The 14,887-nt window shown below is 42.6% G+C and overlaps 1 protein-coding gene across 3 annotated transcripts in view, besides 1 other annotated feature; it reads right to left on the bottom strand.

Moving 5' to 3' along the window:
* The window catches only part of FAM228B (family with sequence similarity 228 member B), a 92,806-nt gene that overhangs the window by 3,789 nt on the left and 74,130 nt on the right, over window positions 1-14,887 (bottom strand). For 2 of the 3 annotated variants that reach the window (NM_001291328.2, NM_001145710.2), the window contains exons 8-9: window positions 4,237-4,344; window positions 1,515-1,652 (exon numbers count right to left, since the gene is read on the bottom strand). In NM_001291328.2, the coding sequence (NP_001278257.1) occupies window positions 1,515-1,652; window positions 4,237-4,344 (246 nt within the window). The remainder of the gene's footprint in view (window positions 1-1,514; window positions 1,653-4,236; window positions 4,345-14,887) is intronic. The other variant, NR_111929.2, reaches the window with a different exon arrangement.
* Window positions 1,031-1,090: an enhancer, noted in NCBI's record as "active region_15428". NCBI's record gives its function as "activates an Ori minimal core promoter by ATAC-STARR-seq in GM12878 lymphoblastoid cells {active_cell/tissue: GM12878}" and the evidence as "EXISTENCE:reporter gene assay evidence [ECO:0000049][PMID:35858748]".

Genomic DNA, 14,887 nt, shown 5'->3' with positions numbered 1-14,887 from the left:
GGCTGGTCTCAAACTCCCAGCCTCAGGTGATCTGCCCACCTCGGCCTCCCAAAGTGCTGGGATTATAGGCATGAGCCACCGCACATGGCCCAACACCTAATATTTCTATAAACTTTCCATTTTAAATGTTGGGGCTTTTTTCTTCATTTATTGCACATGCTGGGAGAGGAAGGAGTCAAGCACCAGGATATAAAATTGTGCTCTTCCATGGTCATTCAGACAGAATCAAGAATCCAGGTTCTAAATGTCTTTAAGTTCAGAATCCAGATCAGGGTCAGAAGAGGTTGACAGCTGCTGCTAGGGGCTGGGGGCTGCAGAGACAACAGCAGACAACAGGCATGCAGCTGACCGTGGAGGGCTCCCATCTGGGACCTGAGGATCCTTGGAGATCACGTAGGGGACTGACAGCAGAGCCTCAGAGCAGACAGGGGCTGGTACTAGGAGTTGGAGGGATGATCACATCTGCACAGAGAGGACCTGAAAAGGCATTGTCCTTTTATATGTATCCCAGAATACTGTGTAGGGCCTCTCTGTAAGGATAGGGCCAGGGTTGCTCCTTGGCCTTGAGTTGGCCTCATGAGGAGTCCAGTACAAGCCCTGCAAACTTGTCAGCTGGAGACATCGGTGCCAGCTCTTCTTTATGCCCCGCTGCTTGAGACACTGGGCAATTCCTCTAAATAATTCATGATTCTTCTTCTCAACTCTTCAAATGCAAGAAATTCCCATTCTTTTAGGAAACTCTGGATCTCCTGGTTACTCCAGGTTTTAATTAACTGGTCTGGGCATTTTTCTGGTTCCTCAGTTTCATTTTCCTCCTTTACTTCCAAGCATTTCTAATAATTTCAGTCTGAAGTCTCACCTTCTCCTTTCTTATTCCTGAGTTTTTTCCCGGGATCCTTTCCACCAGTCACAGGGCCTACTCCAGGGTCCACAGAGAACAAGCCCTCACTCAGCCCTAATGCAATCCAGGAGTCACAAGGTGCCGAGTGAGGAAGCGTGGGTGCTCCTCTCTGCTGCTGGCAATCTCTCAATATGGGGGCTTTCACTTCCTAAATTTTACTACTTGAATTTAGTATTGGTCCTTTTGAAAATTTTCTACCTATCTTGACTGCCTTAAGGTTAACAAAATGTGGGGCCTGGCTTGGCTATGCTAAGTGGTAAATGGTAGAGACAGGGTGGAGATGGCGGACTGAGAGAGGGGCTGGGGAAATCCTGGACAGCGTGGCCCACCCACCAGGGGGCACCCTCATCGTGTGGCTCCACCAGGGGGCACCCTCATCGTGTGGCTCCACCAGGGGGCACCCTCATCGTGTGACTCCACCAGGGGGCCAGGGCAGCCCTCTCCATTCCCTCTGAATAAAGGGCACCTGCCCCTCAGCTGCTTCTAACCTATTCCCCACTGCCTCCTCTCTTCCTGGAAGCCTGCCATACAAAGAAAGTTCCCAGGTGCTCAGATTTTGGTATCAGCGATTGCCACCTTATGTATGATGAAATGGGACAGCCCCAGCTCTTACCCATCCTGGTCTTCCTCCCGTTCCTGGCTGAGGCTCAAGGAAGAAAAATACCCTTCAGAGATGGCCTCTTTGGCACTTGGATTATTTCCCTCCTGATAGCACAGCGGTTCTCTTTCTAGAAAGGATGACCCTTTGTTTCTGCAGGAAGGAACCAGAAAGGAAGGGATTCTCTTAACTCTCAACTCAACTGTAGCACTTAATATTTTTATTTAAATTTGAAGTTGATGAGTTCTATGTGAATTTGTGTATTTTTATGAAAATAAACGTATTTACTTTTTTTGTGTGAAAATAAACCCAAATAAATAGTATTGCCTTGCTCTAGTCATAGTTTCAGCTGTAATCTCTGTGCTGCTTAATCAAACAGCTTTGGGTCCTTTGGAGTGAATGATCCCTCATAGAGTTGTCCAGTTTGCCCTCCCTGAGAAGGTCTAACTCTGCCAAGGACAAATATGCCTTCTCCACCCCTGCTGCCAGAATTGGGATGCTTCCCTTATTCATGGAAGAGAATCCAGTCTTCCTCTTTCTTCTAGAGTGAGCCTAGACTTAAGCCTCTAGTCTAAAATACAGGAACCCACTACTCCAGAAATGCAATATCCTCCTTCACACGTGGGTCTCGCTTTGCTAGAAGATGTATTTGAGAACAAAATCTCTCCTTTTATATCATTTATCAAAATTAAATAGAATTAAGATGCTGATTATTGTAAAATCTTACCCAAACAGGTCTATTTGAGACTCTGGTAATTAGGGATTGCAGAAGAACTTACTCCTTTGGACCCTAATATGCAAGAGTGAGTCTCAATTCTCTTTTCAATCAATCATTTTGTCTTTTAAGGCCTTCAGCTACCAAGGGAATAGGGCTTAGTTTGGACACTTCCTTTTTCCCCTCACTTGTGGCTCCTATTCAAGAAACAACCCAGCAAATGGTTAAACCACACCTCAAGGACAATGAGCCCATGTTGGCCAACGCCCTCCCCAGCTGTCATCTGTTTCTACGGTACATCACTAAGGTCCTCAGGAGACAATTAGTTGTTCTCTCTGCTGGTCATACCAGCATCTCTAAAAGCCCTCCAGCTTCTGCCACACTGTATTTATTCAACAAATTCTGAACCTGTTCAGGAAAAGGAAACTACTGCAGCTTACTTCGGGCACTTTTTAGGAACAGAGAATTGTAAGCCGATCTCCTAGAAAGTCATAAAAGCTCACTTTTCTTGCACCTTGCTAGGTTCCTTTTTTATTATTATTATGAACAATTTTAATAAGGTGTAATTTATATGACATAAAATTCACCCATTTTAAGTGTACAAGTCAATGGTTTTTAGTATATTTACAGAGTTGTGCAACCACCACGACAATCTTATTTTAGAACATTTTCATTAACCCCAAGGCTCCATGCTCATTAAGTCACTCTCCACTCCCATCCCCAGCCCTAAGCAACTACTATCTACCTTCTGTCTTTACAGATTTGCCTTTTCTGAACATTTTGTATAAAAAAACATACTATATGTAGCTTTTTGTTATTGGCTTCCTTCACTGAGTACAATGGTTTTGAAGTTTGTCTATGTTGCAGCATGTATCAGTATTTTTTTCCTTTTAATTGCCAAGTAATATTCCATTGTATGGATATACCACATCTTGTTTATCCATTCATCAGCTGATAGACATTTGGGTTGTTTCCACTTTTTTGGCTGTTGTGAATAATGCTGCTATGAACATCCATATCCTAGCCTTTATGTGGATATGTTTTCATTACTCCTGAGTAGAAACCTAGGAGCGGAATTTCTGGGTCACATAATAATTTAATGTTTAACATCTTGAGAAACTGCCAAGCTGCCTTCCAAAGTTGCTGCACCATTTTACATTCCCTCCAGCAATATCTGAGGGGCAGCACGACTTTTAACCAGATAGTCACAAGATACATAATTATGTAGAGAAATCTCTTAATTCTAAAACTAGTTAGCTGAGATGATTCCCCACATTATATACATAGTATTTGATAGTATGTACCATTCTCTGTTTACAACAACATCTTTCACTCTAGGTACAACATTGTAACAGCTACTACCCACCCAAACCAGTCCCAAACTCCATTTATACTACTCCAATTCAATTTTAAATCTCCTAACCTTTTAGCTTTAGTACAAGTTGTTAACAATTTTTTTTCCATTTCTGTGTTTGTTATTTCTGTATTAGCTACTTGTTTTGTTGTTGCTGTTTGGTTTTTTTGTTTGTTTGTTTTTGAGACAGAGTCTTGCTCTGTCGCCCAAGCTGGAGTGCAGTGGCACAATCTTGGCTCACTACAACTTCTGCCTCCCGGGTTCAAACAATTCTCCTGCCTCAGCCTTCCAGATAGCTGGGATTATAGTTGCCCACCACCACGCCTGGCTAATTTTTATATTTTTAGTAGAGACAGGGTTTCACCATGTTGACCAGGCTGGTCTCAAACTCCTGACCTCAGGTGATCTGCCCGCCTCGGCCTCCCAAAGTGCTGGGATTACAGGCGGGAGCCACCGCACCCAGCCTACTTGTTCTTTAAGACCAGAAAAGCCTGGGAAGTGTTGCCACCTCACCAGACACAGTGGTAGGAGATGCCCGGTGTCCTGCCACAATGGAGCTTTGTGTGTGCCTCAGCACCGTCTCAGCAACATGAAAGGATGGCAGGGGATGGCAGCACAGCCTAGCATCTTAGCAAAAGAAGAGCAAAGCTATGGAAGAACAGACTTACTTGTAAATAACTGTTTTTTCTTCTTCCTGGGATTCCAAAAGATAAGGAGCTCTTGCCAAAGGTTTCAAATCAAAACTACAGTCATTAAAATTCACTTTCACCTTTAACCTTTAACAAGATAACAAGTGTGAGAAGGTTTTTTTGTTCTTTTTTATTGTTGTTTTTTGAGACAAGATCTCTGTTGCTCAGGCTGTGGTGCAGTGGTGCAATCACAGCTCACTGCAGCCTCAACCTCCTGGGTTCAAGGGATCTCTCCCACTTCAGCCACCCTCCGAAGCAGCTAGGACTACAGGCATGCACCACCATGCCAAGGGATTTATTTTTATTTTTTGTAGAGATGGGGTCTCAACATGTTGCCCAGGCTGGTCTCAAACTCCTGGCCTCAAGTGATCTTCCTGCCTCGGCCTCCTAAAGTGCTGAGATGATAGGCATGAGCCTCCACGCCTGGCGGTATGAGAATGTTTTGAAAGCAATACTAGCTTACATTTATATAGGAAATATTATTATACACTGACTGCTAAATATAGAGACAAAAACATCATTATTCCAACTGGTATACATTCTTGGATGAAATCAGTTGTTTTAGAGTTTCTGAAACCATGATGGAGATTGATTTACTGTTTACTGAGAACCAAGGATCAGCTAAGCAAAGTTTAAAGTACTCCCTATCCACTAAGAGCTTAAACTCCAAAGTAACAAGAAGCCACAGAAATTGTGTCATTTATAAGCATTATATAAAATGCTTTTCCCTAGAGAGAATCCAAACATTCCACTTCCCAGTCCTTTGCCATGGGGTGGCAGACAGGTATCTTAGAGTCCTCCAATCTTGCACCCATGCAAGGGTTGATTGGAAGGGTGATATTGGCCCTGCGTAGAACATAAATTTTGCTGGCACAGAGAAAACATAGAATGTAGTACAGCAATGTATGAAATGCTTGAAGAAGAAAAGGAACCAATCACCAAGATAAGAAAGCAATAAGAGCCTATTGGGAATGAACAAGCATATTGGGGGGAAAAAAGGAAATTTAAGAAATTAAAATCTTAATATCAAACACAGCGAAGAAAGAATTAGCAAACTGGAAAATATATACAAAGAGGAAAATGGAAAATATAAAGGACATATTAAAAGATATTAAGATAATAAGAAGGCCTAATATATATATCTAATCTGAGCCCAGAAGCAGAATGCAAAGAATGAAGAAAAAGCAATATTTAAAATGATAATTTTAAAAATTGCTGTATATTTTTCTGAACTGATGATAAACATGAATACAGAGATCCAGGAAGCACAACATATACCAGTAGGTTAAATAAAAAGAAATCCAGCTGGGTGCAGTGGCTCACGCTTGTAATCCCAGCACTCTGGGAGTCTGAGGTGGGTAAACTGCTTGAGTCCAGGAGTTCGAGACCAGCCTGGTCAACACGGTGAAACCTCATCTCTACTAAAAATACAAAAATTAGCTGGGTGTAGTGGTGCATGCCTGTAGTCCCATCTACTTGGGGAGCCAAGGAGTGGGGAATCACTTGAGCCCAGGAGATCAAGGCTGCAGTTAGCCAAGGTCACGCCACTGCACTCCACTCTGGGTGACAAAATGAGACCCTGTCTCAAAAAAAAAAAAAAAAATGAAAAGAAAAGAAACCCATACCCAGACACCAGCAGTGAGAATGCAGGACACCTAAAGACAAAGAGAAGATCGTAGCAGCAGCCACAGAGAAAGGACGGAAAATCAGAGTGACAGCAGACTTCTCAAAAACAACAATAGAAGCCAAATAACAAGAGAATTATGTCTTTAAAACATTAAGAGAAATAATTGTCAATCTAGAATCGTGTGCTTGGCAAATTATCTTCAAAGGTAAACAAACATTGAATTGTAAAGGCCAAACTTCAGAAAAAAGGAAAATGATCCCAGAAATTTGGTATAAAATGGAAAGAGGGACGGGATGCATATGGATTCCTTCCTCTTTGTAGCTGTCTCCCATACCTATATCTGCTACAGAACTGTACCGAACTCCTATTGGTAACTTCAGATGGGATGTTTCCTCTTGGATGTACCCAAACTAGAGGTCATTTATTAAATTAATAAAATTATAAAACAAAGCATTGAGTGATTTAAATCCCAAGAAACTGTTCTTCCTCCTTTTCTATTTTTATCCAAGTTCTACCTTTGTCTGCTTTCTATTAGGCTAGGTTAAATGACCCTTCTTTGTGTGTCCTTAATAATATGTGCATATCACATTGTAATAGAATGATCTGCTTAAATATCTGTCTTCTCTATTCGATTGTGAATGCTTTAAAGGCAATTACAACTCAATACATGATTCTTTGATGGAATGAATTAATGTAATGTTATAGGATGAATTACGTGCACCCAAAAAAATATCTTCAAATCCTAATCCCTGGCATCTGTGAATTTGACCTTATTTGGAAATAGGGTCTTTGCAGATGTTATCAGGTTAAAATGAGGTAACAGTAGATTAGGGTGTTGGACCCTAACCCACTGATAGGTGTCCTTATCAGAAGAGGGGAATTTGGACACAGACACAGAGAGAAGACCATGTGAAGATGGAGACAGAGACTGCAGAGATAAGGCTATAAACCGAGGAACACCAAGGATTGCTGGATTGCTTCAACCATCAGTAGCTAGGAAAGAGACAAGGAGCCTTCAGAGAGAGTGGCCCTGCCAGTACCTGGACGTTAGTCTTCCAGCCTCCAGGACTGTGGAGAATAGATTCCTGTCATTTCAAGCTGCTCAGTTTGCAGTGCTTTGTTATGGCAAGCCCAGGAAACTAATACAGAGGATAACAATTCTCAAAACTTCGAGCTCCTCTCTGACTCTTAGTTCTCCCTGGCCCTCCAAATGTAGTCACCAAAATCTAGAATTCCCTTGTGTCATCATATCGATCTCTGTTTCACTCCTCTTGCCACCATCGTGACTGAGACTCTTATTACCAAAAATGTGGATTCCTATTTTTTAAAAAAACTCTTCAGTGATCTCCAACCTCCAGTCCTATCCTATATCCAAACTGTCATATACCTCACACATCAGATTAAAGTTTCTAAAAGCACCATCTCCAGCATCTCACCCCCTCCTCAGCTATCCTCACTGACTCCCCATTCCCTACATGATAAACTCCCAACTCTTTAGCTAGTATTGAAGGTTCTTTGCAAAATGGCTACAAGCTAGATTCACAGACTTAATCAGTGACTGGTCATCCATTCATTCATTACACAGACAAGTAAACAGGTGCAAACTGTGTGATCGATGAAAAAGTACATCGTGGGACAAAAGAGAGACTAATCTGTACGGCCTAGTGTAAACAGGAGGTGACCACCTGGAATGACTTCAGAGAGGAAGTTTTAAAGCGGCATTTTAATAGAGTCTTGGGAACAATGTTTTGGAAAAAAAAAAAAAAAAAGGAGGTTCAGAGAGAAAGCCCAGCATATGTGAAGAATACGGTTGATTCAGGTAGTTGTGGAAGACCTGGTATTGTTGGAGTACAGAGTAGAAGGGAGGGAAAAATCAGCCCAATCTTGTATGTCATTCCAAAGAGATCACATTTTAACTGAGGGACACAGGAATCACTAAAGAGATTAAGTTGGGCAGTAACATGACATGCCACATTTCACCCTGGTAGCACCATGTAACATAAGGGAAAGTGTGGCACTGTGTTTTAGAATGTAGGCTGTGGAGTCAGAGACCTTAGTTCAGTTTCTGAATCTACTGCCTTATGGCTATAAATAAGTGGTTTTCAACCTGGTATGTGTTCGAATCATCTGAGGATCTTGAAAAAAGACTGATGTGTAGGTCCCACCCTCAGAGATTCTGACTTCATTTGTCTAGGGTATGGCTTGGGATATTAATTTTTTTTTTTTTTGAGACAGAGTCTCACTCTGTTACCCAGGCTGGAGTGCAGTGGTGTGATCTCGGCTCACTGCAACTTCTGCCTCCCAGGTTCAAGCAATTCTCCTGCCCCAGACTCCTGAGTAGCTGGAATTACAGGCATGCACCACCAGGCCCGGCTATTTTTTGTATTTTTAGTAGAGACTGGGTTTCACCATGTTTGCCAGGCTGGTCTCAAACTCCTGACCTCAGGTCATCCACCCGCCTCAGCCTCCCAGAGTGCTGGGATTATAGATGTGAGCCACCATGCCCGGCCAGAATTTTTTTTTTAACTTTCCATGATATTCTGATATAAAGCCAAAGCTGAAAAATACTGCTATAAAATTGAAAAGGTCCTTAAGTCATCTGTGTAATAGTACCTACCAAATAAAATTTCTGTGAAGATGAAACAAAATTAGCACATGTTAAGAAGTGTATAACTCATTCTATTCATCAGCACATAAAATGTTCTCCAAGATAGACCATATAATAGGCCACAAAACAAGTGTCAGTAAATTTAAGAAAATCAAAATTATATCAAGTACTCTCTCAGACCACAGTGGAATAAAATTGGAAATCAACTCCAAAAGGAACCCTCAAAACCATGCAAATACATGGAAACTAAATAGCCTGCTCCTGAGTAATCATTGGGTCAACAATGAAATCAAGATAGAAATTTAAAAAGTCTTTGAACTGAAGGATAATAGTGACACAACCTATCATAACCTCTGGGGTACAGCAGAAGTGCTAAAAGGAAAGCCTACATCACAAAGACTGAAAGAGCACAAACAGACAATCTAAGTCCACACCTTACAGAACCTGAGAAACAAGAACCATCCAAACCCAAACCCGGCAGAAGAGAAATAAAGAGATCAGAGCAGAACTAAATGAAATTGAAACAAACAAACAAACAAAAAATACAAAAGATAAATGAAACAAAAAGCTGGGGGGGGGGGGGCGGAAAGAAATGTATAACAGTGTCTGGTACATCAGAGCTCAATAAATAATAAATGTTATTATAGATTGGACATGAGAATGGGAATTTGGTTTATGGGAATGTTTAGGAAGGGGCAAATTATTATTATTTTTATTATTTTTGAGATGGAGTTTTGCTCTTGTTGCCCAGGCTGGAGTGCAATGGCCCGATCTCGGCTCACTGCAACCTCTGCCTCCAGGGTTCAAGCGATTCTCCTGCCTCAGCCTCCACAGTAGCTGGGATCACTGGTTTGTGCCACCATGCCTGGCTGATTTTTTGTATTTTTAGTAGAGACGGGATTTCACCATGTTGGCCAGGTTGGTCTCAAACTCCTGACCTCCGGTGATCTACCTGCTTCAGCCTCCCAAAATGCTGGGATTACAGGTGTGAGCCACCACGCCTGGCCAGAAGGGGCAAATTAGAAGGAGATTTAGGAATGGATATGACAGAGCCCAGTGCTGGATTAAGTAAAGGGATAATGAGCAATAAAGAAGAACCCTGATATTTCCCATAACCAGGAACACAAAAAAAGCAAGTTAGATGCAAAAGATGACAAGCACGACTCGCTCACTTTTGGATAGGTTGAATTTGACTTATGTGTGGAAAATAGACAATTGAATATTTGTGACCGGAACACAGAAGGCACACACATCTTGCTACAGTCTTCTGAAGACATTCCAGCATTCCAGAACTGTCTTAGTCGTTAAGCACTTGAGCTTCTTCCCAATCTCAGACTCCTGGCCCCATCAGCACCTTCTACATAAGGCTATGGGATGTGGACCCCAAGTGTTCAGGCTGGAGACTGAAAAGTGGCATCACAATTATCCTCAAAATTTGAAAAATATATTGAAGAGAAGCTGTTCCTCTATAGGATATATAGGAAATTCCTCTATAAGAAATAAAAATATGAGCATGGTGGCCGGGTGCAGTGGCTCACGCCTGTAATCCCAGCACTTTGGGAGGCCAAGGCAGCGGATCACCTGAGGTCAGGAGTTCGAGACCAGCCTGGCCAACACGGTGAAACCCTGTCTCTAACAAAAATACAAAAATTAGCCGGGCGTGGTGGCGGATGCCTGTAATCCCAGCTGCTCGGGAGGCTGAGGCAGGAGAATTGCTTGAACTGGGGAGGCAGAGGTTGCAGTGAGCCAAGATCAGGCCACTGCAATCCAACCTGAGCAACAGGCGCGAAAATCCATCTCAAAAAAAAAAAAAAAAAAAAAAAAAATATATATATATATATATATATATATATGCATGGTCTTCAATGACTTCTGGCACACACTTGCTTAGTGTGTAAAGACTAAGATTCAGTAAAAGGGCTCATAGAAGAAGCCAGTCACCCGCAAACACGCCAGCCCCCATAAGGCTAGAGAAGTATGAGGTCATAGAAGATAATCTGACAATCATCTAAAAAGGACATTTTCTTTATCACATTAATGACCACCAGTCATTAATGGTGGTCATTAATAAGTAAGTAAGGGTGGAAACAAACAGTGTGACTGGAACTCACTGTATGCCCATTAATGTGATTTGCTCACTACAAAATCAATATTCTAAATATCATCTTACTACATGATCAGAGTTAAACCTATTATCACTGTATGCCCATTAATTGCTCACTATAAAATCAATATTCTAAATATCATCATCTTAATATACCATCAGAGTTAAACCTATTATAAATAGACTCCTGGTTTGGATGGAACCTATTTAATTACTAGAGCTAGGATTATGATGCTCAAAGTAGACAAAGAAAAAAAGTAACAGCCATTGTTTCGAAATTCTGTTTTAAGGTTTATTTCTGTCTTATGTAACATTCACAATGCCATTTGTGGCCACTTTTTAAAAATAACAAATGAAATGATTTTAGTTCTGCTTCCATTTGGGATGTAGAAAGCATCCTAAAATAGAAATAATGATGCTCTAGAAATAATGGTGCTCTCACCCCAAGGGCAAAAAAAGGCCAGATAATCTACAAAAACATAACTTTTATTGAGCCCATCAGATTTCAAGGCAAAGAAGTAAACTGAATTCCAAAGACAAGTCCCTCCCACGAGAGGCAGGACACAAAACCTGCTTCGCCTTTGGTAGAACATGAGAGGAAAGGGTGGCTTCTTCTCTTTTTCCTCTCATGCTCTCATCCTCAGATAAAAAAAGAAAAACATTGATGATTAGCTGGACTTTATTAAAATTTAAAATGTGTGCTCTGCAAAAGACACTGTTAAGAGAATGAAAAGATAAGCCATAGGCTGAGAGAAATTATTTGCAAAATATATACCTGATAAGGGACTTACATTCAAAATATACGAAGGATTCTTAACACTCAACAATAAGAAAACAAACAACCCATTTTAAAAATGATCAAATGATCTGAACAACAGACACCTCACCAAAGAAGACAGACAGATGGCAAAAAAACATGTGAAAATAGTATATGGCAAAGAAACATATGAAAAGATGCTGGAGGCAGAGCAAGATGGCAGAATAGAAGCTTACACCCTTTATTCCCCGCACTGGAACAACAAATTTGAACATCTATCTGCACACAGAAAAGCACCATCACCAAAACCAAAAATCAGGTGAGCAATCACAGTACCTCGTTTTAACTTCATATCACTAAAAGAGGCATGAGGAGAGCAGGAGGGACAGTCTTGAATCACTGATGCCACCTCTCTCCTATTCCCCAGTCATAGCCGTGTGGTACAGAGAGAGAGTTTGTACATTTGGGGAGGGTGAGCCCAGTGAGTAGGGGACTTATGCTGAATTCGGTTCTGCCCTGTCACAACAGAGAATAAAGCCATGCTGGGCTCAGCCAGCACCCGCTCAGGAAGCCAACATTTGGACCAGCCTTAGCCAGAGGGAAAGTGCCCATCCCAGTGATTGGAACTTGAGTTTCTCCACAAGCCTCACCATTGTGGGCTGAAGTACCCTGGGCTCCTAGGTAAATTTGAAAGGCAGTCTAGGAACAAGGACTGTAATTCCTAGGCAATTCCTCATGTTGGGCTGAGCTCAGAGCCAGAAAACTAGGGTGGCACGTGACCTAGGGAGACACCAGCTGGCATGGCTAAGGGAGTGCTTGCACCATCCCTCTCCCAACCCCAGGCAGTGCAGCTTGCAGCAACTCCAAAGGTGACACCTTCCTTCTGCTTAAAGGGAGGAGAGTGAAGAATAAAGAGGACTTTGTCCTGCATCTCGGATACCAGCTCAGCCACAGCAGGATAGAATAGCAGGCAGGGTCCTGCGGTCCCCATTCCAGGCCCTAGCTTTGGGACGACATTTCTAGACACATTCTGGGCCAAAAGGGAATCTGCTGCCTTGAAGGGAAGGACCCAACCCTGGCAGGATTCATCACCTGCTGACTAAGGAGCCCTTGGGCCCTGAAAACCAGCAGCAGCGATACCCAGGGAGTATACTGGGGGCTCTGGATTCTGAGATGTGCTGGCTTCAGCAGTGACCCAGAACATTCCTAGCTGTGGTGGCTATGGTGAAAGACGCCTTCTGTTTGAGAAAAACAGAGGAAAGAGGAAAGGGAACTTTGTTTTGCACCTTAGGTCCCAGCTCAGTCATAGTAGGATAGAGCAACAAGCAGGCTTTTTGGGTCCCTGAGTCTGGGCCTGGGCTCTTGGACCGCATTTCTGGACCTGCCCTCAACCAAATGGGAGTCCATTGCCCTGAAGGGTGAGTCCCAGGCCTGGCAGCATTCACCACAAGCTGAAGGGAAGAGCTCTTGGGCTTTAAGTAAACATCGGTGGTGACCTGGCAGAATCCCCATAGACCAGTGGTGGTGGTGGCCACAGGGAGAGGATTCTCTGCCTGTGTAAAGGGGAGGGAAGAGTGGGAAGGATTTTGTACTGTGGTGTGAATGCCAGCTGAGCTGCAGTAGAAAAGACCATCAGGTAAACTGCTAAGGTTTTTTTTACTTCAAGCCCTGGCTCCCAGACAGCATCTCTGGACATGCCTGGGACCTGGGGAACTCACACCCTGAAGGGAAGGGCCTTGTGCAAGACTCGGTGCTATACTAGACGTCTTCAGGTCTGACCCAATGCGGCACCAGTAATGGTGGCCACAGGGGTGCTTGCATCATGACACCCCCAGCTCCAGGTGGCTCAGCACAGAGAGAGAGACTGTTTGTTTGGGAGAAGGTGGGGGTAAATATCAGGAGTCTCTGCCTAGTAACCAGATAACTCTTCTGGATCTTATCAAAGTCCACAAAGGCAATACCTCTATGAGTCTGCAAAAACCACAGTATTATTGGGCTTGGGGCCCAAATCCCTTCAAACACCTGGAAAGCCTTCCCAAGAAGGACAAACCCAGAATGTAAAGACTACATTACCTAACTCTTCAATGCTCAGACACTGATGAATATCTATAAGCATCAACACCATCCAGGAAAATATAGACATACCAAATGAACTGAACAAGGCACTAGGGACCAATCCTGGAGAAACAGAGATATATGACCTTTCAAACAGAGAATTCAAAATAGCTATTCTGAAGAAACTCAAAGAAATTCATGATAACACAGAGAAGGAATTCAGAATTCTATCAGATAAATTTAACAAAGAAATTGAAATAATTACAAAGAATTGTCTGGGCGTGGTGGCTCATGCCTGTAATCCCAGCACTTTGGGAGGCTGAGGCAGGCAGATTACCTGAGGTCAGGAGATTGAGACCAGCCTGGCCAACATGGTGAAACCCTGTCTCTACTAAAAATAGAAAAATTAGCCAGGCATGGTGGCACACATCTGTAATCCCAGCTACTCGGGAGGCTGAGGCAGGAGAATTGCTTGAGTCCGGGAGAGGGAGGTTGCAGTGAGCTGAGATCATGCCACTGCACTCCAGCCTGGCTGACAGAGCGAGACTCTGTCTCAAAATAAATAAATAAATAAAAATAAAAATACAAAAATTAGCCAGGTGTGATGGTGCATGCCTGCAATACCAGCTAAGTCAGGGAACTGAGGCAGGAGAATCGCCTGAACCCAGGAGGCGGAGGTTACAGTGAGCCGAGATTGCACCACTGCACTGCAGCCTGGGGGACAGAGCAAGACTCCGACTCAAAAAAAAAAATTGTCTTGGGCCACACAGAAACACATAAAATACACTAACATTAATGATAGCTAATGAGCTAAAAAAAAAAAAAAAATCACCAAAAAATCTCATAATGAGGCCGGGTGCAGTGGCTCATGCCTGTATTCCCAGAACTTTGGGAGGCCAAGGCGGGTGGATCACCTGACGTCAGGAGTTTGAGACCAGCCTGGCCAACATGGTGAAACCCCATCTCTAATAAAAATACAAAAAATTAGCCGGACGTGGTGGTGGGTGCCTGTAGTCCCAGCTACTCAGGAGGCTGAGGCATGAGAATCACCTTAACCCAAGAGGCAGAGGTTGCAGTGAGCCAAGATCACACCACTGCACTCCATGGACCCTGGGTGACAGAGCAAGACTCTGTCTCAAAAAAAAAAACAAAAAACAAAAAACAAAACAAGCAGAAATTCTATAGTTGAAAAATGCAACTGACATGCTGAAGAATACATCAGAGTCTTTTAATAGCAGAATTTATCAAACAGAAAAATGTATTAGTGAGCTTGAAGACAGGCTATTTGAAAATAGACATTCAGAGGAGACAAAAGAAAAAAAGAATAAAAAACAATGAAGCACATCTGTAAGATCAGGAAATAGCCTCAAAAGTGCAAATCTAAGAGTTATTGGCCTTACAGGGGAGATAGATATAGAAGTAGAAAGTTTATTCAAAGGGATAATAACAGAGAACTTCCCAAGTCTAGAGAAAGATATC

The sequence above is a fragment of the Homo sapiens genome, chromosome 2 (assembly GCF_000001405.40).
Source record: "Homo sapiens chromosome 2, GRCh38.p14 Primary Assembly".
Taxonomy (NCBI): Eukaryota; Metazoa; Chordata; class Mammalia; order Primates; family Hominidae; genus Homo; species Homo sapiens.
Note: the sequence above shows the minus strand (reverse complement) of the source record. Positions and strands in the feature narration are given on the sequence as shown.